Source organism: Homo sapiens, chromosome 21 (genome assembly GCF_000001405.40).
Source record: "Homo sapiens chromosome 21, GRCh38.p14 Primary Assembly".
Lineage (NCBI taxonomy): Eukaryota > Metazoa > Chordata > Mammalia > Primates > Hominidae > Homo > Homo sapiens.
In genome coordinates, this window is record NC_000021.9 from 35,211,385 (window position 1) to 35,236,954 (window position 25,570).

The 25,570-nt window shown below is 40.2% G+C and overlaps 1 long non-coding RNA gene across 1 annotated transcript, besides 4 other annotated features; it reads right to left on the minus strand.

Annotated features, from left to right (window-relative positions):
* Positions 261-15,791, minus strand: LOC124905015 (uncharacterized). Its single transcript, XR_007067854.1, has 2 exons — positions 15,716-15,791; positions 261-3,117 (listed from the first exon to the last, which is right to left on the minus strand). It is a non-coding gene; the product is annotated as an uncharacterized LOC124905015 (long non-coding RNA).
* Positions 5,718-6,917: an enhancer, noted in NCBI's record as "CDK7 strongly-dependent group 2 enhancer chr21:36589399-36590598 (GRCh37/hg19 assembly coordinates)". NCBI's record gives its function as "activates an origin of replication core promoter dependent on BRD2, BRD4, P300/CBP, MED14 and CDK7 cofactors, with strong dependence on CDK7, by STARR-seq in HCT116 cells {active_cell/tissue: HCT116}" and the evidence as "EXISTENCE:reporter gene assay evidence [ECO:0000049][PMID:35650434]".
* Positions 20,673-21,872: an enhancer, noted in NCBI's record as "BRD4-independent group 4 enhancer chr21:36604354-36605553 (GRCh37/hg19 assembly coordinates)". NCBI's record gives its function as "activates an origin of replication core promoter dependent on BRD2, P300/CBP, MED14 and CDK7 cofactors, and independent of BRD4, by STARR-seq in HCT116 cells {active_cell/tissue: HCT116}" and the evidence as "EXISTENCE:reporter gene assay evidence [ECO:0000049][PMID:35650434]".
* Positions 21,148-21,442: an enhancer, noted in NCBI's record as "tiled region #6677; HepG2 Activating non-DNase unmatched - State 24:Quies". NCBI's record gives its function as "activates a minimal TATA promoter and a strong SV40 promoter by Sharpr-MPRA in HepG2 cells {active_cell/tissue: HepG2}" and the evidence as "EXISTENCE:reporter gene assay evidence [ECO:0000049][PMID:27701403]".
* Positions 22,555-25,180: an enhancer, noted in NCBI's record as "2.6 kb enhancer 4 fragment used in the pGL3RUNX1P1E4 construct". NCBI's record gives its function as "activates the RUNX1 P1 promoter in transfected DG75 lymphoma cells in an EBNA2- and RBP-J-dependent manner" and the evidence as "EXISTENCE:reporter gene assay evidence [ECO:0000049][PMID:26883634]".

Genomic DNA, 25,570 nt, shown 5'->3' on the forward strand with positions numbered 1-25,570 from the left:
CTGCCAAACTGGATGTTGAGGAACGGGGTTATATGTTAGTGCTGGCGAAGGGCAGAGCTGGATGAAGCCTGGATCCCTGAGTATTTTGGAAAATATAACCACCATACCAGCCCCTTGCTGCTTACCCTCTGACTTTTCATTTGCTTTACCAACTATTATTTTTATCCTCTGTTACTTGTAGTTCAGTTTCAAAGAAACCTCTTAATTACCAGGAATTGCATTGTGAAAACAATGATGTATGTTTGAAAAAAGGACTTAAGAGAGTTTCAAAGTTATTTTTATTTCAAGATTTTCACAGTAGTATTTTAATAGCAATAATGTATTTTATTGATGTTAGCTAAAGATTTTTTAATCTCAAACATAAATGAGGAAATTATAAATATCATGAAAGACCAGACAAAAATCAATAGCGTTCTAGATTCTAATCACACAGAATATTTTTCAACAGTCACTGGTGAGCAGAAGAAAATAATATCAACGGAGCAGCCAGTCTCTCCAGAAAGCAACTGTGTTTTCCAAGGCAGAGAACACAACGACCTTTCTTCTTGTGTTTATGGTGGTATTTCTCAACCACAAGCCCATGATAACTGGGAACGATGTTCAAAATATTTATCAATCTGCACAATCTGGATGCCATCCAATCAGAACAGATGCTGGCTATAGAACAACTAGTATATCCATCCTGGCTCATGGCAACATGATTTCAGCCTAGGGATACCAATAGTAGCATGTGTACGGAAATCACGTTTCTTAAATTATCAACCACATTTTGTCTAATTTATGGCATAACACCTGATAGAAATGCCTGTATCATATGCAAAATTAGAGGTTCATAGAAGTAGTTCTTGTTTTTTGTGTGTGAGTTTCCTAATGAGTTGGTTTAGAAAAGAATGAGACCCAAAGGATCCTGCTGGAGAGATTTTTGGAAGGTGGATGACTGGCTGTTTAGCATGTATTTTTCTTAACCATCGTTTGTGTTTGAGTGCTTGTATGCATACATGTGTGTATATACATGTACAAACAAAACATACAAAAGTAGTGTGACTGCAACTAGGAGTACATTGACACTGTGCCTGTGGCCAGCAATACTGTCTCCTTTCATTCCAGGAACAAGAAACTTCAGAGCCCCCAACATACTAGACTTGCTTCTGGCATTCATGCCACAGGGCTCCTGGTGTCTCAAATACTATTTTTGATGTGCAGCTGTTGAGTTGAAACATCTGATAGTTTCTCTTCTCCAGACTGATTTGGTGCAAGATACCAGTAAATGATCATTTGTTTCAGTTCTTACAAGAGTCAAAAGACTAATATTAGATAATGGTTCCTCCCACACATGGCCCTTTCCCTCTGACTTTTTGCCTGGAGGATCCCAGACCCTGAGAAACCACGCAAAGTCATTCTCAGACAGGCTTGGGCTTTAGCCACCAGATCTGTGGGGCTCCATCTGGCTTATAAAGTCTGTCCAAATGGGAGAATAGGAGCACCCGGTGTCACTCTCCCACACCCCTGTCAGTCCATGCTAAGTCCTTGCTACAGTTGTACTCATTTCCTTTTGTTTTCTTCCCTGTGGATTTGGAGATTAATTGGCCATGATTCACTCAGACAGTCATTTGTGTACTTGAAGGCCATTAGTAAAATCCCCTCTCGGTTCAGAAGAAAAGAGGGTGATCAAAATATTTAACAACTGCTAAGACTGAAGAACTGTAAAGGCACCAGCATTATTGTCCAGTCAGAATGGACTCTGGCCGTAGAGACTGAGCAGGTTCTTGGAGGCTCTTTGTTTAGAGACTTGGAGGATGAGGGAAGCAACCATTTGCCAGTTGGTCTGGGACATATTTCCTTCTCTTAATCATGGACAGATCTGTCCCAGTGTGTTTCTGTGGAGAATCCCCAGCCTCAGCCTTACTCCTTATAGTATATTATCAACCTTGCGAATGTGATAATTCACGATTAGAACACTTTTCAAGACTAATAACCAGATTGCCAGTGTAGCCCTATTTGCCACAGCCAGATGACTTTCAGCCATATCTGGAGAATGATGTAAGACAATTTTTTTTTTAATCTCTCAAATTTTTAACATGTACTTATGAGACAGTATAGTAACACAATGACTATCCATGATTTAGGATAAACTGAACGTGATCGAAGTGAGTAGTGTGATATGGTTTGCTAAAAAGACCCCGATATAATCATAGCTTGTTCTAACAGAAGCGTGATGTCTTGTGCTACTCAATGGTCAGTTGACATCTACCCTATGGGCTCTTGTTCTGGCCACCATACTTGTGGAGGAAGTGGTGCAGTAGAGCAGGTGAATGGTCCCAGTGATGCACCAGAGTGTGTGCCCATGGACAGGTGAATGGTCCCAGAAACATATCATATGAGAACAGGTTGAAGGTTTTTTCACTATGCATGTCATAAAAGGTGCCTGCATTTTGCATAGGGCCTTATTTGAAGAGGAAATAGGCTTATTCTGTGTTGTCCCAAAGGGACAAAATAGGACCAGTGAGTGGAAGGTAAAGAGAGGTAGAACTGGGGTCAACATAAGAAAGTGTCTATGGAAGGAGAATGAACTATTATAGTAATGTAAGTTCAAGGTGAGTGCAATTCAGTGTAAGAAACACCATGAGGCATCTATTGTGCCCTGGTTACCGTGTGAGGTGTTGTTAACAGAAAGAAGAATGTGGTGGCTTCACTCTACTATGAAATACAGATGTGAGAAGAATTCATAAGAAACATCACATGTTCCCGAAGGGATGCTTTTATAAGATTCCAAAGACAGGTAGGGAGGAAGTGATTAGTTCAAGAAAGTGTTTATAAAAGAGTGAGTGACAGATCTAGGTTTTGAAGAATAAATTCCTGTTTGATGAAGACAGACAGACAAGGGATGGACGAGTCTTCCAGGTTGAGGAATCAACATGTGGACAGTCCAGAGAGGTCCTTCAAGCAGTCTTGGAATTGGTTATTTCATTTGGGAGCGCAGGCTTCTAGTCTTCTGGGATAGTCTACATCCATAACAGGAGCTAGAATTTCAATGTCCTCATTATTTTTGAAGTATTTGCTTGCATGTCAGTATTTGTTTGGTTTTCCTCATTCAATGAATCTGTTCCTCCAGTGAGTCTGTAAGGGAATTATTTAGCAAAAGGTTTTCCAAGTTTAAGAATAGGAAAATGTTTAAATATGAGTATATTTAAATTGTTTTTTGTTTCAATGGATTTTTTTTTCAAGTTGGTCTCTTTTACTTTGCATAGGGAAGACCTTTTACTTTGATTAGCTTTGGTGACTTTGCTGCAACTTTAAAAATATATCCAGCATCCTAATCCTTGGAGGTTCAGATTCTTGGAAGATAAACTGCAACTTTGCAAATGGCTAATGGTCTGGTGAAAAAGAAGGATGGTAAATTTATGGTAGTACTAGTTTTATTTAAAATATATATATATATATATATATAAAACCTAAAGAATTCAACACTCAACTGGGTATATCAAATCTTTAAGATTCCCTAAAATCAAGTTTAAAATTATTTTTATTGTATATCCAAGCTTTGGGTTTCCTGGTCACCTTTTCGTTGAGCTATAACCAGAGAATGAAGATGAGTAGGACCTCAGAAGCAGAGAGAAGCAGACAAGTGGGTCAGGCCAGGTAGCAGTGTCAGGGGCAAAACTCTACTTCCACCAACCTCGGCATGTAGGAATGTTGTGGCAGTTTGTAGACCAGCCCTTCTTCTACCTACCATGAACCCACCAATCACCATAGCCAGTAAGGAGGGTCACCTTTGTGTCTCCTAAAATGTTTGTCACCACTGGATTTGAAAGGCACACTTGACAGTCTTGTGTCAAGTAAAAACTATTAAACACTTCCAAATCATAAGCTGATGGCTTCCAAAGAGCAAATAAATGTCCTAAAGTGATCACTATTTTTAATACCCAGCTTGACAGAAATGTCTGTTGAGCTTACTGCCAGGTGCCACATTATCACTTAACCAAAAATGTCTATATAAAAATAACTTCCCCCCATTGGAATGGTGGCCTGTATACAGAGAAATCTATTTATGTTTCAGTTCAGTTTCAAACATCTTTGAAAAACAAGCTGAATGGATAGAACTGAAGCAATGTGCGCACCTCTGGAAAGATGCGGCAGATGTTACCTCTTGAATTGGTGGAAATAAAAATGACATTCCTCTCATTTAGGTTGTTTGGTGTTATGCTGACTTTTTAATATAATCTGAAGCAGAAGTGACTTAATGTCAACGACACTATTTCATGGTTATAAAACTTTTGGTTTGAGAAGTTGTTAGCCTATTTTTCTGCTTTCTGGATGTGGATGGCCCTTAGAACAATCTCCCCTTAGAAGGGATGCATTGAGTGTGGAGAAGTGCCAGCCACTGGAACGGGCACGATGCATAGGTTGATTCCTTTAAGTTCCAAGGCAGCTTGAGGCAACTACCCAGAGCAGCTGAATTACAGGGTCCTGCAGGTCCATGTCTCTCTTCTAGGTGTTTACTTCCTCAGCCTTGGTAATGCTCAGTCCCTGGTTCCCAGTGTCCTCTAAACTTGCCCTACAGTGGCACTCATCCTGTATTTCGATTACACCTTTCTCTTGGGGGGCCAGGACTGGGTCATGGCCTTAGGCAGCCACAGAGAGGTCAGCCTGGACTAGGGTGAAAGCAAAAGGATTCTCAGAAATGGGACTTGAGCTCACCAGCAAGAATGTATAGAATTTCAAGCCAGGACAATAGTGTGAAAAGGCTAGGATTAAGGGGTGGGGGACAAATGATGGTGCCTTTTCCTCAAGAAAAAAGGCATAGAATTGAAGGAGGTAATTATTTCCTCCTAATGTGTCTCATTTTTCTGCTAGGCTTCTAATATCACACACAGAAAGTTGGAACATTTGAAGTTTCCTTTCTCCCAAAATAAAAAGCTGATTTTATTCATCGTAATAAATCTATTTACAGCTCATTCATAGGTATTGGTCACTTAATTGAAAACACTAGTATGCATTAAATATTGTTATATAGCCAAATAATTTTTAATTGTCTCAGCTACCAACTTGAAAAATATTTCATTTTCTATAATCTGAGTTAATTTAAATTGCTTTTGTGCTTCGATTGATACAAGTTTAACTTTTTTTCTCATTAAGAAACATTTTACTGAAGTCACCTTTTGAAGAATGTTTCCTTTTCTGAGGTACTAAATCTGTTGGCACTTGACACTACAGTTAGTAGCAAACTTTTTTTTTTTTAGATGGATTTTTGCTCTTGTCACCCAGGCTGGAGTGCAATGGTGAAATCTCGGCTCACTGCAACCTCCGCCTCCCAGGTTCAAGCCATTTACCTGCCTCAGCGTCCCGAGTAGCTAGGATTACAGGCGTGCACCACCACGCCCTGCTAATTTTTATATTTTTTAGTAGAGATGGAGTTCCGCCATCTTTCCCAGGCTAGTCTTGAACTCCTGACCTCAGGTGATCCACTTGCCTTGGCGTCCCAAAGCGCTGGAATTACAGGGGTGAGCCACCATGCCTGGCCAGTAGCAAATTTTGAGAGAAGGAAATTAAATAAAAGTGCATTCATTTTCTTTTAAGCAAAATCTCTAATGAGCTAGTGTAGGCTACATGAAAAGCTGCTTCTTGGCATTCAAAATGTTTAGAGACCAATGTCCTTACACCATGGATGTGCAGTCAAATGAAAGCTTCCTAGTATTCAAGTAAGTGCCTGCAGTTCTAAGCCAAGCTCTTGCACTTACTGCTGGAAGAAAGGCGGATAGAAGAGGCTAATGTTACAAGCTGTTCTTCTCAAGGCTATTAACCTGTCTCCACCTTCTTCCTTGGACACAGAGCCTTTTGATGCAAAGCTGCAAGGAGCTGTGCATTCTTAAATAAACATTTTCCAGTTCAAAGAGCCAGTCCTATGCTTCAATTTAAAGTGAGATTGAAAGAGTTATTTGCTTTCTTGTCCCTTTAGCATAGACAAGCACAGCAAGAGCCCTCATGGGTTCCCTTGTTCAACAGTAACTTCTTTCCAAAGATGAATTAGCCAGGCATAGAGTTTGACTTTCTCAAAGCCACTAATGTAAGGTAATCCTTGGAATGAGACAGGATGACTCCACCGACTCAGGAGGAGTAAAATATTGTCCTTCTTAAGTGAGCACATTGAAATGGCCTACCTATGAACACAGAGCCCTCTAATAGCAAATACAGTAATGCATCAGTAAGCATTATGGGTCTGCAAGATAGCAGTGACTTACACAATAATAGCCCTGCACACTAGAGTGTCCAGAGCAAACAATGCCCTGAGGCACAAGTGCAGGTGGGATGAGGTATGCCAGGGCAGTAACCTACTTACCTGGGCCAATGATGGCAACTGAGAGAAAGAATGTGAGGTCTTCTTTCAGAGTCACTGAAACCTGTGACTCAAACTCTCTGACATACCAGAGGAGGGTGCGAGGTGCTAAAACAGGTCACAAGGCTTGAAGTAGCTGATGCAAACTGACTCAGGGAAGAGAAATGTGTTCAAAAACAGCATGGGGTAGATTGGAATGTCCCAGCCCTAATCTAAGAGACATGTGTCTTTGTAGGGATGACAGACTCTGCCTCAACACATTTTGAATTATCCAGAGCACTGATATTTGCAGACACACTTTGGTTCTGTAATAATGAATAAAGGCAAATTGGTCATTCAAGAGGTATTTGTTGAATATCTTTCATTTTATAGCATTGTTCAGGGACTTGTGAACGCCACAAACATGTGCAAGGACATAGTCTCTTCTCTCATGTTACTTAAAAGGTCTACTCTCTATTTTCAAAGATAATCAGTGGATAGATACATAGATAGATATTGGTAAGAATATTTTCAAAAAATTGCCTAGAATTCTAGAACTTGCCTAAGGTCTCTTGGCATCAATTGTCATAGTCCTCTGCTTTTCAAGGAGACGCTAGACAAATTTCTATGTACCATAGAAAAACTTTTCTGTGGGTAGGGAAGAGCCATCAATCAAGAACTAAATGTATAAAATAGCAAAATAGGGTTTTGAATGCTAGCTTCACCCCTGTGTTATTGTGGGCAGGTTTCTTAACCACTAGAGGCTCAGGTTGTGAGGTTTTTATCCTCAGAATAATATTTTTATAATTTCCTTCTAAGGGTTGGGTGAGGGTTCCATTTACGAATGACTGACCCATTGTAGACACTCTGTCAATGCTAGTTCTTTTCTTTATTCTTACATTTTAACCCACTGGATTCACATACAATGAGTTTACTTAAATCGGAGATCTGACAGTGCCAACTGTGAAATTCTGTGCAAGATGGTTAGACTTCTCTGGCAATATGGTACCAAAGGAATCCTAAAGCCATCCCCCTTCAAAGTATACAAAAATACTGGATAAAATGTTGAATGCTTTCTAAGAGCACGGCTTAAGGAAATGGTCAGAAACAAAGAAGCTGAGCAGGAGCACAAATCCAGATAGGTGACTGGTAAATCTGGCAGCAGCCTAAAGCTGTCTGGCTACTGTTGTAAACTAGAGCTTTGGATTTATTTTATTGGTGAACCGACAGGTTAGGTGACTTCACATAAAACTAGGGTCTTCGAAGATCAGCACCCTTAGGGAAAGGATGAACCAAAATATATTTTCCCACAAATACAAATGTCCAGAAAGTGTATCCAGTACAGGTATCAGTTTTGATTCTGGGAAAAGGGGAAAGAAGTATTCTTTGAGAATTTGTTACCCTCCTTCACACAGGTTTGTAGTCCAATTCACAGTATGCATTGTGGTCTGAAAAACATCAAGCCAAGATTTCACATTCTGGTGCCAGATTGGTGGTGGTTCCTGGTAACTGGCAGAAGTAAATGCAAATCTTCTCAAGAGTAAGGCTCCTTCAATTCAGGTTTCAAAGAAAGGCCAAAAATTCATGAATTAAAGAAAAATCATAGAATACATAAGTGAACAAAGTACCACGAGTGAGAGTCTGCAGAAACAACACCCAGCAGATCAAAACCAGAGCATAACAGATACTGAAATTATTAGATAAACATATACAATAAATGTATTTAATAGGTTTTTAAAAAGAAGATGAAAGGGTTGACTTGAAAACATGAGAAAGGAAAAAGAGAGTGTAAAAATGATGAGTCAGATTTGAAAAAGCAATATATTTATCCTCTAGGAATAAATCTATAATATATACAATTTGAAATTCAGTGCAGATATTAAAGACAGATTAGACGCAACTGGAAGGGAAATCATGAAATGCAAGCTAACCTTATGAAATGATCCTGAATGCAGTACAGAGTGACAAAAGAGGAAACAATAAAAGGAAGGTTGAAAATGTACATACAGTGAAAAGGTATAACACACATTCAGTCAGACTTGTGGAAAGTGATCATTGGAAAGACACAATAAAGAGAATAGGGAAAGCAAAAATACGGAAGAGGTGATGGTGGAGAATTCTCTTGAGTTGATGAAACCTACGAATCCTCAGATTTGGGAACTTCAATGAATCACAATGAATCTAGAAATCTACCCTAGATTTTTCAAAACAGCTGACCACCAAAGATAAACATGACCATCTGAAAAGTAGCCAGAGAGAAAAGCTATATAGCCTAAAAGGAGCCACAGTTCAGCAGGCAATTGATGCCTTCACAGGGGCAGCAGGAGCTAAAATGCAGTGCAATCAAGCCATACAAAAGAATGAAATCATGCCCTTTGCAGGGGCATGGATTAAGCTGGAAGCCATCATCCTCAGCAAACTAACACAGGAACAGAAAACCAAACACTGCATGTTCTCACTCATTAAGTGGGAGTTGAACAATGAGAAGACATGGACACAGGGAGGGGAACAACACACACTGGGGCCTGTTGGGAGGCAGGGTGGGGGCAAGGGGAGGGAGAGCATTAGGACAAATACCTAATGCATGAGGGGCCTAAAGTCTAGATGACGGGTTGATAGGGGCAGCAAACCACTATGGCACATGTATACCTATGTAACAAACCTGCACTTTCTGCACATGTATCCCAGAACTTAAAGTAAAATAATAAAAAAAAATGCAGTACAATCACATCTTCAGAGGGCTGAGAGAAAGTTGCCATCAAACTGCAAACTGACTCAAGGAAGAGAAATGTGTTCAAAAACAGCATGGGGTAGATTGGAATGTCCCAGCTCTAATCTAAGAGACATGTGTTTCTGTAGGGATGACAGACTCTGCCTCAACACATTTTGAATTATCCAGAACACTGATATTTGCAGATACATTTTGGTTCTGTAATAATGAATAAAGGCAAATTGTTCATTCAAGAGGTATTTGTTGAATAACTTTCATTTTATAGCATTGTGGAAATGTCTTTCAGCAAAATAAACATATTTTCACACAAGCAACAGCAAGAGAATCTATTACCAGCAGGTCCTCACTAATAGAACTTCTTTAGGATGTATGTTCAAAGGAAAGGAAGATGGCCCCAGAATCCAGATACAGATAAAGGATTGATGAGCAAAGAAAACACGTGGATCTCACAAATATAATGTGAAGCAAAAATGGCACTGACAGATTATTCGTTCATCAGAGAACCACGTATAAAAAGTTCAAATACTCAAACATATCTTGACTGGGGGCACATACATAGGAGGAAACCTATAAGGAAAACCAGGCAATAAATACACGAATTTCAGATCATGTTCACCTGTTGAAGGAGAAAGCAGAGAGTGTCACTGCATTTTTATGTTCTTCTGGAGCATACTCATAGATCTACCATGGACCAAGAACCACTGTGCCTGTATGACTGGCTATAGGACAAGAACAATTGCAATGAGGTGCTTGTCTTCAAGGAGCTTACTACAGTCTAGTGGGAGAGGAAAGCCATGACTCTATAGCTCAGGACATGCTGATAGCATAAATGCACACAAATCCACCCATACTTTACTTTGATATCCCTTTCTGGTTGACCCTCAACCTGAGTGCCAGACTCCCTTCAATACCCAAACATACCATATGTATCAGATGAATGAATGAATGAGTAGAGGAGTGCTTATTTTATATTCTGTATATCTTGCATATAAATCATAGGCACACATATTGTTTGGTGTATTTGAAACATTTAATAGCATAAAATATTTAAATAATCTTTCAGAATCCACCTTGAGAGTTGCGGATAATAATATATTTTGAACAGAAATTTCAAAATGTGCCTCAGTCTAATATGTATTTGTCCCTGCAAAAAGCTGGGAAGGTAAGAATGGAAGTGGAAAAGGATAAAACATGTCAATTTAGAGAAGACTTTTCCCTATCTGGCATCCCTTGAAATCAACAGTTAGATAATAGATAAACTACATGGGGAAATTTTGTACCATTTGAGGGTGTAATCTGCCACATTATTTCATGAGAAAGTTTGGTCATGTGGTCTTTGGTCATGTGGTCTTTTTTTTTTCTTTCCTTCTTTGCAGTGACCTACAGGAAGCTCAAAGCTGTGTGTTCAGCTGCTCTGGCTTTCTTCATGGTGGGGCTTAGCATTGATTCCCTCTCCTGATGGCTCCCTATGGCACTCCAAGGCTGAGACATATTTGAGGCTGGTATGTTTGGGTATGGAAGGGAGTCTGGCACTCGGGTGGAGGGTAAGCCTGAAAGGGATATTAAAGTAAAGGATGGGTACAGTTATCTGTATTTAGGCTATCAGCATGTCCTGAGCTTTACTGCCATGGCTTTTCCCTCCCACTGGACTGTAAGCTCCTTGAAGACAAGGGCCTCATTGCAATTGTTCTTCATCCTGTAGCTGGTCATGCAGGCACAGTGGTGCATGGTGTGTGGTAGATCTATAAATACATATCAAATGAATGAATGACATACCATGGACAGCTCTCTTCCTATCCTATTGCTAGAGCACATGGGCTCGCAGGCAGGTGAGTGAACACAAACATGTGTGCACCCCACACACACACACACGTACAAACTCACACATCCATCATTTACATGCAGAAGTTACATTATACTTTCATGCCACCATCTGAGAATTCCAAAGAGAATATCAGGTGAAATACGTTAAATTACTTTTGCACATGCTACAGGTCATGAGAGTATGAGTTCATGAGAAAGGAGACACTGAAACTGAATTAGCAACAGAGAGCAGAGGTTGTGCTGAAGGGAAAGCAATGTTAATGCCAGGAAGGAGTCTGGTGTTGTACGTGGGAAATTTGGGATAAACTGCATGGATTTTACAGCCTTCCAGGGAGGCAGAGTGCTGGAGTAGGTTCAGAAAGCATTTCTGAAAACCTCTTTCTTCTAGTCACCCTGCCTAATTTCCTCTGACTCTGTCCTCCCCTGGCTGCATTTCCTGTTTCTGGTTAGAACTCTGACCTAAGTTTCTTTATTTCGGAACTAAGCAGAATTACTTGTTTCAGTGAATACATTTGTGGACCACAGCAATGGGGAGAAAGGAGCCTGAGAAAAGTGTTCCTCCGGCCCTTGAGGTCAAAGACCTGTAGGAAGTGGTATGGCAATGACCTTCAGTGACAGCAAGCCCGTGATGTGACTTCAGCAAAGTGGGATGGGCCATTTTCACTCACTGAGCTTGTCAGATGACCTTTTCTTGATTCACCATTACCTGGAGAGTTTATCCAACTGCTGGGACACAGGAGATGTGAAGAAATGGGTATACTGGTTTGAAGGATAAATTTGCCTTCTAGCTGAACAGAAATCTGAGAGCTGCTGAATCACCTGCAAAATTATATCTTGTTCTGTAGTTTGTTTCCTAAGTTTCCTGGGATTTGATTAGTCAGGAAAAGACCACACCACTAGCAGGGGAAGTCCAGGAACAAGGGAGCCAATGAGTTCTGTGTCCTACTTAAATGAACCTTGAAGGTATCCAGGAGAATCCTTCCTTCTAGCTATGGAAAGATGGGAGATGGGGCAAAGTGATGCCCAGTCATGGCCAAGAAAGATCTGATGTTTCTACAAACAGCTCTCCCTTTCTTGCATATCTACCTAAACTGGAGACCCTTTTATCTTCTGCCAGCCTGCTTCAAGGCTTTTTTTTTTTTTTTTTTTTTTTTGGTGGAAATAAGTTAGGTGGGTGGGAAAGGAAGAAATGCAAAGTTGTGTCTGCCTGTGATTAATCTTCTCCAGAACACACCTGGGTCTTAGAATCACAGAGGCTTTGGATCGGAGGGGGCTGAGCCGAGCAAATTGTTCGGGAGTGGGTAGAAGGATAAGAGGTCAGGTGGGTAGATGGAGAGGGCCTCATGGAGGGACTTCCCCATAAATGCAGCTCCTGCATCCACAGTCCTTTCAAATGTGCTGTGCTTCACTAAGATCAAATGCATGGGAACTGGGCAGTTTTCCAACTTGTCCTTAATTGTACTCTTGCTAGCATGGCTTTATTAGTGGGTTCTAAGTGTTGTGAATGCCAAGAAAATCGGACATCATAGAATAAAGGCTATATTTTACAACCAAATATTAAGCATACCTTTCATGTATTACTGTTTCCCAGTGGACTGCAACATTTTTACATCTATTATTACATTTATCCTCACTACCTCCGTATGAATTATGCAGGGACTTATGCTCATTTTTCACATAACTAAACTGCAAATCAGAGAGGTTAAGTAATTTGCTCCAGGTCACACAGCTACTAAGTGAAAGAATCAGGACAAGTATTCAGATCTTCTTTTTACACTAGCAGTTTGGTTCTGTCCATCCACTACTGATGGAGATTTAACTATGATACGGTTACAAGAAAACAAATAATTTCCTCATTGACAATTTTTCCTGAAGGGCTCTCTTCCCAATACAATTCCCTTCTCAATACAGTTGACCAGTATTTAAATGAGTCAATATCCCCGAAAGTTGAAAATATCAGAAATTCTGGATTGTTAAAAAAAAAATACGTCTTCTGGATAATTCTCGGGAAATGCTGTAGAAAGAGATCTGTTTTTGTCATACTCTCTGGGACAGTCGGTTCAAGTCTCTGCTTTCTTTAGGGCCAGTCCATCCATTAGAGAAGCAAATCAAGTTCTAGAGAGGGTGGTACATTGTCCAAACTTATGAAAGACTCTACTCAAAGGTGGACATGGAACTGTGACCCAGAAACCGTGAGTCCTGTCACCCCTTCTTGCGAATGTGATGTAGGCTGGGTCCTTTTGGAAGCCAAATGCTTCCAAGAACTCGTTGGCTTTATTTATTAAAGAAGTTCTGGGCTGGGCACAGTGGCTCACGCCTGTAATCCCAGCACTTTAGGAAACTAAGGGCGGGGGGGGGGGCGGATCACAAGGTGAGAAGTTCAAGACCAGCCTGACCAACATGGCAAAACCCTGTCTCTACTAAAAATACAAAAATCAGCCAGGCATGGTGGTGTGCACCTATAATCTCAGCTACTCAGGAGGCTGAGGCAGGAGAATCACTTGAACCCGGGAGGTGGAGGTTGCAGTGAACTGGGATTGAGCCACTGCACTCCAGCCTGGGAGACAGAGCGAGACTCTGTCTCTAAAAAAAAAAAAAAAAAAAAAAAAAAAAGAAAGAAAAAAAAGGAAAGTTCTGGCCTGGGGCTCAGGTGTGATGTTTTCACAAAAGAAATACATAATCTACAAGCCCAGGAAGTCACATTCGCCCTCCTTTATGTACCCTCCATGAAAATGAGAGCTTGTCTGATTGGACCAGCTCATTGCCATTTAGGGGAGTCTGAAAGACGAGCACACCTGGGTGGTGATGGCTATGGAAGTTTATGCTTCTAAAATTAAGGATCAGTAAGTAAACGCCCTTTAAATGCAGTCTATCTGTGCGATGGTTCTGAAGTATTATAAAATTCTGATGCCTCATTTCATGTCAGTCTTGGGAAAATGTTCTCTCGTATATTATTGTTTGGTGTGCAAACAATTAAATATATTGGAAGGCAAAATTAAGCAATTTCCATAAAACCTTAAATATGCCTATCTTTTGAGCCAGGAATTCCTTCTTTAAGAATTTATAAGCACAGAGAGGTCCACTCAAGGATGCTTATTTTAGTAGCGTTTATAACAGTCAACAATTAATATTCAAGTAACAACTTGTATGTCAATCAGTGGGCAATGGGATGGATAAATTGCTGTCCAGTTACGTAGTAGAATATTTTTTGGTTAATAAAGAAAAAGAGATAGAACTTCTAGTACTACTATGAAGTTGTCTCTACCATACGTAAGGCAGAAAGAGCAAATTACAGGATAACTTGTATGTTATATTTTTATTTTGTGGAAAAGAGAAAAACGTGCATACACCTTTAAGACTTCACGTGCATGGATAATGGACTAGAAGGAGATATATGAAGTTTTGAACACTTGTCAGCTCTTTGGGGAGAGAATGGGAAGAGGACATGTTTGTCTTTTTTCCTCTTATACGCAGTCTAGTATTTTTCAGTTGTTTTGTATTGCGCAAGTACTACTTTCATCACTTGAAATATCAATACATATTTAAGGAAGAAATAGCCAACATGTATGTTGGGCTTGCTGTATGCGACGCAGAATGCTAAATATCTTACATGCATGATCTCACAGGTTACTCACAGTGGCTCTGAGGGGCAGGTGGTAGTATCAGCCCATCTTACAAAAGAGAAAAGTAAGAATCAGAAAGACTAAATAACTTGCCCCAGGTTACACAGCTAGTGAAGGCAGAATGGTCTCCGGAGAAGAGGACTCATGCACTTAACCCCTGGCTCTGCTGCTCTTCAAGGCGGTGGCCTGCACCCAGCCATCTATGAGGGGCCATTAAAGATTCTGAGTGTGGGGCCAGCAGATGGGATTTGCTCCAGTGAGGAGGGGCTGGAGCTCTTTCTAAGTGACATGGTATTACACTATGCTGAGTGGATTTTGTCCCCAGCTGCTGCTCTGGGGGTGATTCTTTGCATGGGCCTGCAATTCAGCGATGAGAAAACTAAGAAAAAGGTTCCCCTGAGTCTCTCTGGACTTTCACTTAGGGGGAAAAGTAATCCGTACAAAATAATGACTTCCTGACCCCAGTTCCTGGAGAAAGCCGAGAGACAGCTTCTGCTGAACTCAGAAGTGCTGTTTTCCTACGTGAACTGGGGTAAAGGTACTGACCAGAGAGAAGCTGCCCTCTGGGCACTGGCATCTCTTCTGGGAACAGGGTTTTGGCCCTTCTGCAAGTGGCCACAGAGATCGGGTTACAGCAGTGCTGAGCTGGAGTAAAGTCCAGGCCTGGGGTCAAGCAAGGCCTGAGAACTGTTCGGGAACTGACTCACCCCAAAGCCCTCAGCCGAAGAGGCAGGTCCCAGAGCCCACTCTGCTCACCTCTCAGAGTGAGGGGCTTCGGCAACACCAGTCCTGCCCACTTCAGGGAACAGTGTAAAAACAAGGGAGGCTTGAGAATTCAAAAGTTCTGGTAAAACTATGTATGGGACCTCTTCCTTAGCCAGGTGCATAACCCTGCTGATCTAGACTTTTTAAAAATATCCCAAATTCCCTCTGCCTGGAGTGCTTTCTTCAATCTAACTATACCTGGGCATTTCTTCCCCATGGGCTAAGATTCAAAACAAGTGTGGCTTCCTCCCTGAAGGTAAATCCACATCCCGGCCTAGCAGGGGCCCCTCTGCTGGCTCTGAGAGCATTGTGTGTGACCCCCCCAAGTCCTCCTTAAACTCCCCACTTCAAGGATGTTGTTTCTTTTCACATCTCACTCTTCCACCCAACCACGAGCTAGAGAAAGACATTGGGACTCCTCCCCGGCACAGGGTGGCACGGTTGATAGCTGTGACCTACCTGAACTGTAGACAGCCCCTCTCCGCCTGAGGAAGAACAGGGGCTAACCACCATGTCTGGGTTTCATGTAGGGTTTGTCTTTCACCGGTGAGGGTAAAGCTTTTGAAAGAGATCCTAGAGAGAATGAAAGGAGGGGCCTGGGAGTGAGAGGAGAAATAAAAGGCTTATAGGGAGCACCTCCCTATAGTCACAAAGGCCATCCTTCCTGGCAGATTAATTAAACAAAAGATAACCATCCAGGAAGACAAACTTAAAAAGGAGAATCCTCTAGGCAGATTAATGACAGAAACCAACGCTTTCACCCTCTGCCCACTTCCTTTGGATAGGTGCTTTTGTGCAGTACACAAACCGCACAGCCAGATATGGCAGCCCTGAGAATAACATTAACATATCACGTGCCGAGCTCCTTTTAAGTGCAGGTGCTAGATCAGGTGTTTTGCATATGCGATTTCATTGAATCTCCATATTGACTCTACGAAACAGGGACTAGTGTCCTCATTTTAAAGACAAACTAAACTGAGACTTAAAGAGGGCATTTTCTCAAGGGCACCCAGCTAAAAAGCAGAAGTTAGCCTTCGACTCCACTGTGCTGGCTCTGGACGGTCTGCTTCTAACCTACACTCTGCTAGGTCTCAGGAAAGCAAATGCAAACAGATGTCTGCACACATCCTGCAAAAAAACTGATGGCCAAGAGGAAACATATCCCAGGAGAAGGAATTAATAGACTTCAGAAAATGGGAGATTTCAGACAAAGGGCAGATGTCTTCTGGAACACTGCACAAAGCAAATTGATGGCAAATGCCAACAGGTGTCTGTTTTAGGAGAGGGAGCACCTGCCAGTGTGGGGAACGTGGTGGCTGAGGAGAGGGTGACGCAGCAGCACCTGTTCTCTTAATGTGACATGGCCAAAGGCTTCTTCACAGTTGGCTGAAATTACAAGACAGGAGGATGGGCAGCCCTGGCTTCAGAAAACTGGTCTGTGAAGCGGATAAAGAAGACAGAACAAAGAATTCTGATCAGGCATAAAACATTTGTCGGAGGAAGAAGTGCTGACGCCCTTAAATTTGCAAAAGAAACAAGAAAGAGGCCGGGCGTGGTGGCTCACACCTGTAATCCCAGCACTTTAGGAGGATGAGGGGGGCAGATCACCTAAGATCAGGAGTTCAAGACCAGCCTGGCCAACATGGAGAAACCCCATCTCTACTAAAAACACAAAATTAGCCAGGCATGGTGGCATATGCCTGTAATCGCAGCTACTCGGGAGGCTGAGGCAGGAGAATCGCTTGAACCCAGGAGGCAGAGGTTGTGGTGAGCTGAGATCACACCATTGCACTCCAGCCTGGGCAATAAGAGAGAAACTCCATCTCAAAAAAAAAAAAAGAAAAGAAAAAGGCATAATATATAGTATATAAATATATATTAAATAAATACTAAGTATTTATATAAGCATTTAGTTACTTAAAATATGTAAATATTTAGTTACTAAATAAAAATATATATCTTATATATTATTTCAATACTAAGTATTTATATAAATATTTAATTATTTAAAAATATATAAGTAGTTGTTTAAAATATGTATTTATTTAATTACTACTTATGTAAGTAGTATTTGTTATATACTATTTATTTATATTTGATATTTATTACTAAATAATAATAATACTAATTACTAAGTAACATTTATTATTAAACACTAAATATAAATAAAGAGTATACAACAAATACTATTTATACAAATAAATGATAATTTACATACCATTTACTTATATAAATATGTTTTCTTTGAGAAATTAGGAGATGGTTGTTTAGTGGTGTGAAGATGATATGTTTACTGTATACATAATACATTATTTTTTTAGAAGCCTGCTAGCAGTACATTGAGTAAGTTATATGAAAGTAATTAGCAAATGCAAAACTTGATTTAAATCTAAGGTACATTTGGGTTCATGTATTTCAGAAATGTCCATTAAGCACACCCAATGTTCAAGGGCCTCTGGTAGGACCTGGGGCCACCAAGATGCATTGGACATCAAGCCTGCCTTCAGGAGCCCATGCCACAGTGAGAAGTAGATAATAGAGTATCAAGAGCAGACAGTGGGTGACATTCCAGCTTTGGCAGTAGGAGGTGCGTTTTCTGTAGAGAATTTAAAAACAATAACAAAACTGACAAAAAGCCAGTAATTCTAAACAATATCTGTGATAAAATGCTTCTCCAAAAAAGTTAGGGCTTGGCTCAGTGCAGCTGGCTGTCTGTTTCTGTGATAAAGTTTTATTGGAACCAGTCACTCTTATTCATTTACATATTTATTATCTATGGCAGCTTTCTTTCATGCTACAACGGCAAAGTTGAGTAGTCGTGACAGAGGCCAGATGGCCACAGAGAATAAACTATTTACTATCTAGTCCTTAACAGAAAATGTTTGCTGACCTCTGGTCTGAGTTATAAATAACTGCTGCAATTACTGTTGAGTTTCGATAATAATATCTATGTCAACTTCAATTAGCACATCTTTATTAGCTGTCCTTTAATAAACATTTGGTTCTACAGGGAAGTTAATTCCAGAACTCCAGTTATATAGTGTTCCCTAAGGACTCAGCTGCATGTATTTGTTTTGAGAGTCTAAGTTTGTCACTAATTGAGGTCTATTCTTATCTCCAACCCATATAACATTCTTGGATTTAAAGGGCGGATTCAAAATAGTTGATGATAACACTCTGATTATAAAGTCCAAAAAATCGAGCTTGAATTACATATTTTTTTGTTCTATGTGTCCCTTTGGATTTTTAATGTTTAAAAGTTAAAACAATGAAACTGAAAACTTAAAATAATGAAACCGAGTGTAAACTACAAGGCGTGATAATTTTGCTTGGTAGGCGCAAATATTAGTTCCCACATGGTGTAGGTACAGAATTTAAGTGGTATTTTAAAAATTGAAATTAATGTTGTAGATCACAATTATTATATGAGTACTGCTAAAAGTAATTTGTGGCCAGGCATGGTGGCTCACACCTATAATCCCAGCACTTTGGGAGGCAGAGGTGGGTGGATCACCTGAGGTCAGGGGTTTGAGACCAGCCTGGCCAACATGGTGAAACCTCGTCTCTACTAAAAATATAAAAACTAGCTGGGCAAGGTGGTGGGCACCTGTAATCCCAGCTACTCGGGAGGCTGAGGCAGGAGAATTGCTTGAACCCAGGAGACAAAGGTTGCAGTGAGCCAACAAGGTGCCACTGCACTCCAGCCTTGGCGACAGAGTGAGACTCTGTCTCAAAAAAAAAAAAAAAAGTAATTTGTCACATAGAAGAGGGAGTGTCAACTGCATTATACCTCCAAATGTAAATGATCCTTAAAGAATGACTGCATGAGGAATAAGGGCCAAGTGTCATGAGAAATGTGCCATGACAGAGTGTCACAGAGGTTTCAGAGGAGGACAGTCCTTCCACATGGAGGAAGTCAGTCAGTGTGCTTCCTGTTGGGAGGAAATGCTCCTGAGAACTGCCGTGATGCCCATGAGGATGCGAGTGTGTGTGTATGCTTGTGCACCAGCCAGGATGAACGTGCACAAAGAGCAACCTCCCTTCTCCCCATGCGAAACATATGGAGAACTTGGTGTGGGTTCTTCAACTCCAAGCCTGTGCATGAGACTCCAGATAATTGTCGGGATTGCACCAGGGGGAAGGGAGGGGGAAAATCAGAAGGAAAGGCTTTCCAATCTCCCCTGATCATTTGCTTTCAATCCAGAGAGATATATTAATGGTATGAGGATAGCGGCCTTCTCAGTCTAGACTCTGCCACAAGAGAACATGCCTCCAGGTCAATCAAGAAGGGGCCCTGTGCAGACAAGTCAGGCTCTGCACTGGAAGGTCAGAGGCAGGTGTGGTTGCCTTTAGGACCTGCAAATCTTGCAAGAGACCTCTGACTTGGTCCCTGATGTTCCACCCACATGCTGTCAGAGAGATGAAGGCAGCATGATGAAAGGACGCAGACTTGGTTCTATGTGGGATAAAGCCATGTCTCAAAGCCTGGCCCATGGTGTGTGTAATCAGGGCCCTGCTTCAAAAAGCAGATGATGGGCCCCACCCTAGATACATTGAATGAGATGCTCCAGAGAATGAGGCCTAGCGGTGTGCATATTTAACAAGCTCTCTGGGTGATTCTTGTTCACCAGGAAGTTTAAGGACTGAGAAGAAGGCTATAGACAGCCAGCCAGCTCCATCTGCAGCTCTGCTGTCCAGGTGTGACCTGTATTCATCTCAGTGCCAAATGAGTCATCACAGTCTGCAAGTTTTGTGCTGAAGTTGCTAAGAAATACCGAATTTAAGAAATATACAAATATAAGATATTCTATACATAGTAAAATATATAAGAAATTAGATATATAAGAATAGCTCCATTTTGAAGACTCTACTAAGTACTTACTTAATATAGTAACTGATGAATCTGTATTGTGAGACAGATTCTACCTCCTTCTCTCTCATTGTACAAGTATCACACTTGTAGCCCATTTTACAAGTGAGAAAACCCAGGCACAGGGTTAAGCATTTGCTCAAGACGTTAATAGCTATTGGATTTAAATGTGGAGGCAGGATTCAAACATGGGCCAGCTGACTCTGGGGCCATCACCTTTAAGTACGAGGCACTGTTGTCTCCCGACAAGTTAAGAGAAACTGAACTGTTCTGAATGCAACCTTGAGCCTGGAAAATATGCTTGGGCACATGATATAGCATTGTTGACAAATCTCAGGACCACTATGGGAAAGCAAGGGTCCTAGGCTAGACCGTGTTGTTTGAGGTTTATCACATTGCTTTTGCATCTCTAGACTTCCATTTGCAAAGCTGTATAACAATAGTCTCTGTGGCATTTTCTACCTTTTGAAATCTCTGTCCCAATTGAAGAGCAAATTAAAAATGGGGCACCAACAATATAGGTTAAGTCAGGTATGAATTCAGCAAAAGGTTCCCACAGTTCCCAAAGAGAAATGCTACATTCACCTGAGAACTTCATAAAAATATAGATTTCTGGATGCAATCTCTCAGGGAACTTCATTCAGGGCACCAAAACGTCTCTTAGGAATTTTGTCACTTTTGGATGATCCCGGGGTTGAGAACAATAACCTGCAACAGTATTAGGATTTGAAAACCTTGCATCCTTGTTTTGATTTTTAAGGTCAAGTCCTCACAAGCTTTTCAGTGAGAAAATTGTCCTTTTTTTCCTCTTTCTCTGTTCTTACCTCCCCCCTTCCTTCTCTCCTTCCCTTTTCCACTCTTTCCTCAAACATATATTGAACACATAGCAGGTGCTAGGTCTTATGCTAAGTTTGGAAAATACACCTCCTGCATGAATGGAATGTATATTGTGTGTGTGTGTGTATGTGTGTGTGTGTGTGTGTGTATTTATGTGTGTACATGCACACAAGAGCATACACCCTGAGAAAGCAAGGAGGCTCACAGAGCTATGTGTGCTGCCTTTTCTTAGCAACTTTAACTCTAAAGAGTCCTGGAAAACCCAGACTATTGACTAGATTGGAGAACGATGATAAGCTCCTTCTTCAACTACTCTTGCCGGGCACCCTCATGACTGCCGTTGGCTTCTCGGCCCACGAGTCTAATCACTTGTGTTCATTCCTGGCTTGTGAGTCACAGAGGAGTCATCCCTGACCCTGACCCATAAGAAGAATGGTCATTTATTTACCCTTTGAAACGTGACCAGGTGGCTCATTAATTTTGCAGCATTAATTCTAAGGGGAAATGAGATTCCAACCAGCGTCATTAATCTTGTAAAAATACAGCCACGAGAAGAGAGCATCGATAATCAGAATGTAATTTTCTGAGTTAGGAAGTGGTCAGGACATTGGTGTCAGGGATCCGGCACATCTAAGGTTTTCATGGCATTCTCGCCAATGGCCCAACCAGGTCAAGGCAATGGTTTTAAGCCTGGAAGAAAAAGACCACTTCAAAGGTTGTTGATTCCTAAGATAGAGCTTAGACCCTTCTCTGGCAATAATAAGAATGACATCTATTGAATCATTAATATCTGGTTGTTAATCATTCTAACTAAATACTTTTTTTAACCAATACAGGTCTATTTAAGATATTGGTTTATAAAGTATTGCTGCTCAGAGTGGCTCAGTGATGGTCAGTGAGTGACCTATTTATTCACATTAATACACTTTGTTTAACTGTCAATCTTTCCATAGCCTGTAATCTCTTAAAAATGATGATGATGATTTTCATTAAAGGAAGCTAAGTCTTTTTCAATAATTCCATCTACAAGCAAAACCTCTCCTAATTAGTTTATATCCTGTAAATTCAATCCCTTATTGCTTTTGTCTTCCACTGAAACTAAAGTATTATTTAACCAGATTTATTTTTTTGTCCAATTTATTTATCCTTTCTTATTTTCAATCATTCAGTTGCAGCCTTTTTCAAAATACATTCCTATTATCTAAAGCTTTGGAGGAAAATTTGCTGCTGAGAATACATACAAATATCTGACTTCGGTGTCACCTACCTTTTATAAGTAAAACAAGCAAACAAAAAACAAAGTAATGTGGATATATACCCTATCATTTTATAGGCCCAATTTAATCATTTTTATTGATAATATAGGATGTGGAAAAGGTCTTCAGTAGATTATGTTATACCTGCTCCTAATTATTCAAGACATGTAACTAGTTATATCATCTACCACCATGGAAAGAACGAAAACCAGCTAAAGAGGGCATAAAATTAATGTATGACTTCCATGTCACAAAAAGAAGAAATGACATTGGTGGCCAGAACGCAATGCTGATGAATGAAACTTTGGTTTTGTTTCATAATTGCCTGCATTGACATGAGGGACTGTGCATTTAGCCCTAATAATCAGATAAGAATCAAGAGGCCACTCACACGCAAAGTGACTTCAACAGATCTTTATTAAAAATCTTTTCTCAACTGCTTGGCTGTATTTCTTAACACAGAGAAAAGTTTCTTCTAAAAATACCTCCTTCTTCTTGCTGCAAATCAATTGCTATTATTTTCTGTCACCAACTGGCTAATACATAGATTGTCTCTATTAAATCCATAGGACATTAAACTTATAATATGGCTTATGACATGCGAGAGATTGTGTGTCTCCACAGATTGTAGGCTTCTTCTGAAAAATTTATCCAGAACAATTCTAAGGAAAAGGTACATTTCCAACGTTTTTGTGTACTGTGGTGGGAATAACAGCAACACATCTATCCATTCTTCAGAAGGTTCTAGATAGAAAAGTCTTCACATCTTTGTTTATGGATGTCTCAACATTTCCCCCGATACCTTCCTGTGTCCATTAATACATACTGATAGGCAAGACAAAAATAAATCAGTGCTATTTATTTTTCACAGGAAATCTCATTTCCACTAGGCATCTCAACGTGTTTTGACTTTTCTCCTTTGGTTAGAGTGTCTTCAGAACATATGAAAACTGTCAAATATTAATGCCAGTTATATAATTAATCTCACCATCAGCAAATTTTTGTAAAACTTTAAAATAGTTTTTTTTATATTTGCTGGAATCACTGAAACAGAATAAGTACTAAATATTGGCAAATTACTCTCCCATGAGGCTTTTAGGGTAAGATGCTCAGTTTGTTATATTGGTGAGAAGTATCTTGATGAATGTGTCATTTAACTCGTGTGTCAATGGCAAATTAATTTTGTTATAGAAGAAGAATCGACTTATTTTTAATTTAAAACATGAGAAATGCCAGCAGTCGAAGCGACTGTTGGTTTAACCACATCTTTTCTAAATTGGCAACACAAGGCAATGGTCTAAATATAAGTACTGCAATTGTGGTTTTGGTTTCAGAACCATTGCACAGTTGTTAGTTACCATAGTTGAGCAGAGGAAAAAAACTGCTCAGGGTAGGGAAAGGAATTTGCAGACTGCCACGGCAGGTTAATTTAGACTAATTTGGACCCCAATCATGAGAGTAACACATGTCCTCTGGAATTATTTTGCCAAGCTTGTGCTGGGTAGGTTAACAAGAAAAGAGTTCACTGGTTTTTAAAATAAAAAGAACAGAGAGATGGGCAAAGGTACTTAAAAAAATCTGATGCACAAACCATGTTTTCTAATTTAAAATACCTTAGTTGGAAGCCAAATCTTGAAATCTAGCTTTTGGATTTCAATGTCTTTCAATATGCCAATGGAAGCTGGGTATAACGATTACTACACAGATTTGAAATTAAGATTTGTGTTTTGTTTCCCACCATAATTATACCATCATGACATATTATCTCCTCCCGCTTTATTTTTTATTTTACAGCCACCAAGTGGGCTCTGTATTTCCAAGGCGGTTCTGTAGACCAAGGTGGCAATCACAGTGTTGTTCACATTTATTTGTTCAAGCGACCCAGCAATTCCACTCCATATCTCTACCCTGAAGTAGCTCTCACATGTGTTCATAAGAAAGAACAAACAAGAATATTCATGGAAAAAAGAAACTGCACACATTGTTTTACAATATCTAAATTTATAACCCCAGGAGAATGGATTATAAATGGGACCCTTGTATGTATGTATGTGTTTGTGTGCATGAGTAGATACACAAAAAACAATGGAATGCAATTCAGGAGAAAAATATACCTATCGACATGGGTATATCTCAAGATACAAAATATTACATAAAAATAATTTGCAGAAGGCTATATAGGCATAGTCCCATTTATTTGAAGTTTCATAATAAGTTGTGTTTTAGAATAAGTATGTAGCAAATGTATAAGGCAATGCATAGGAATGAGAAACACCAAATCAAGAGAGTTGTTCTTTCCATGTGGCAAGGAGGAGAATGATATTGAGAGCCACAATTGATCGAATAATGTTTGATTTCTAATACTTTATTGAGTAGTAAGCACAAGAATCTTTATTACACCTTTGAATGAATGAATGAGTGAGTGAATGAATTCAGTTAATCAATTAACAGAGTGCTATGGCTTAGATGTAGTTTATCCTTCACAAAACTCATGTGGAAATTTAATTGCCAATGTAACAGTGTTGGAAGGTGGTACCTTTAAGAGGTGATTAGGTCGAAAAGATAGACTGTCTTTCTCAAGAGACTGGGTTAGTTTTCTTGAGAATGGACTAGTTGCCTGAGAACAGGTTGCTACAAAGTGAGGCTGCCTCTCATGCCCTTTGCATGCTCCCACTTCCCCTTCCTCTTCTCTGTTATGTTTTGATTCAGCTTGAGGTCCTCACCAAAGCCAAGCAGATGTCAGTGCTATGCTTCTTGGACTTCTCAGCCTCCAGAATCATGAGCCAAATAAACCTATCTTCTTTATAAACTACCCAGTGTCAAGTGTTTTTGTTTTGTTTTGTTTTGTTTTGTTTCTTGAGACAGAGTCTTGCTCTTGTTGCCCAGGCTGGAGTGCAATGGCACAATCTCTGTTGAATGCAACCTCTGCCTCCCAGGTTCAAGCAATTCTCCTGCCTCAGCCTCTGACGGGATTACAGGTGCCCGTCTCCACACCTGGCTAATTGTTTTTCTGTGTGTGTGTGTGTGTGTGTTTTTTTTTTTTTTGTATTTTTAGTAGAGGCAGGGTTCCACCATGTTGGCCAGGCTGGTCTCAAACTCCTGACCTCAGGTGATCTGCCTGCCTCGGGCTCCCAAAGTGTTGGGATTACGGGTGTGAGCCACCACACCCAGCCCAGGTGTTCTATTATAACAACAGGAAACAAACTCTGACATAAAGTATACTATATAAACTATTCTTTATTTTTTTATACATATGAAATATTTAATGATTATTCTTTGCAAAAATCTAGAAAAATGATTAGGGGTGAAGAACTAGAAACAGTTTCTTTCTAGATACTGCTTGGAGCAATC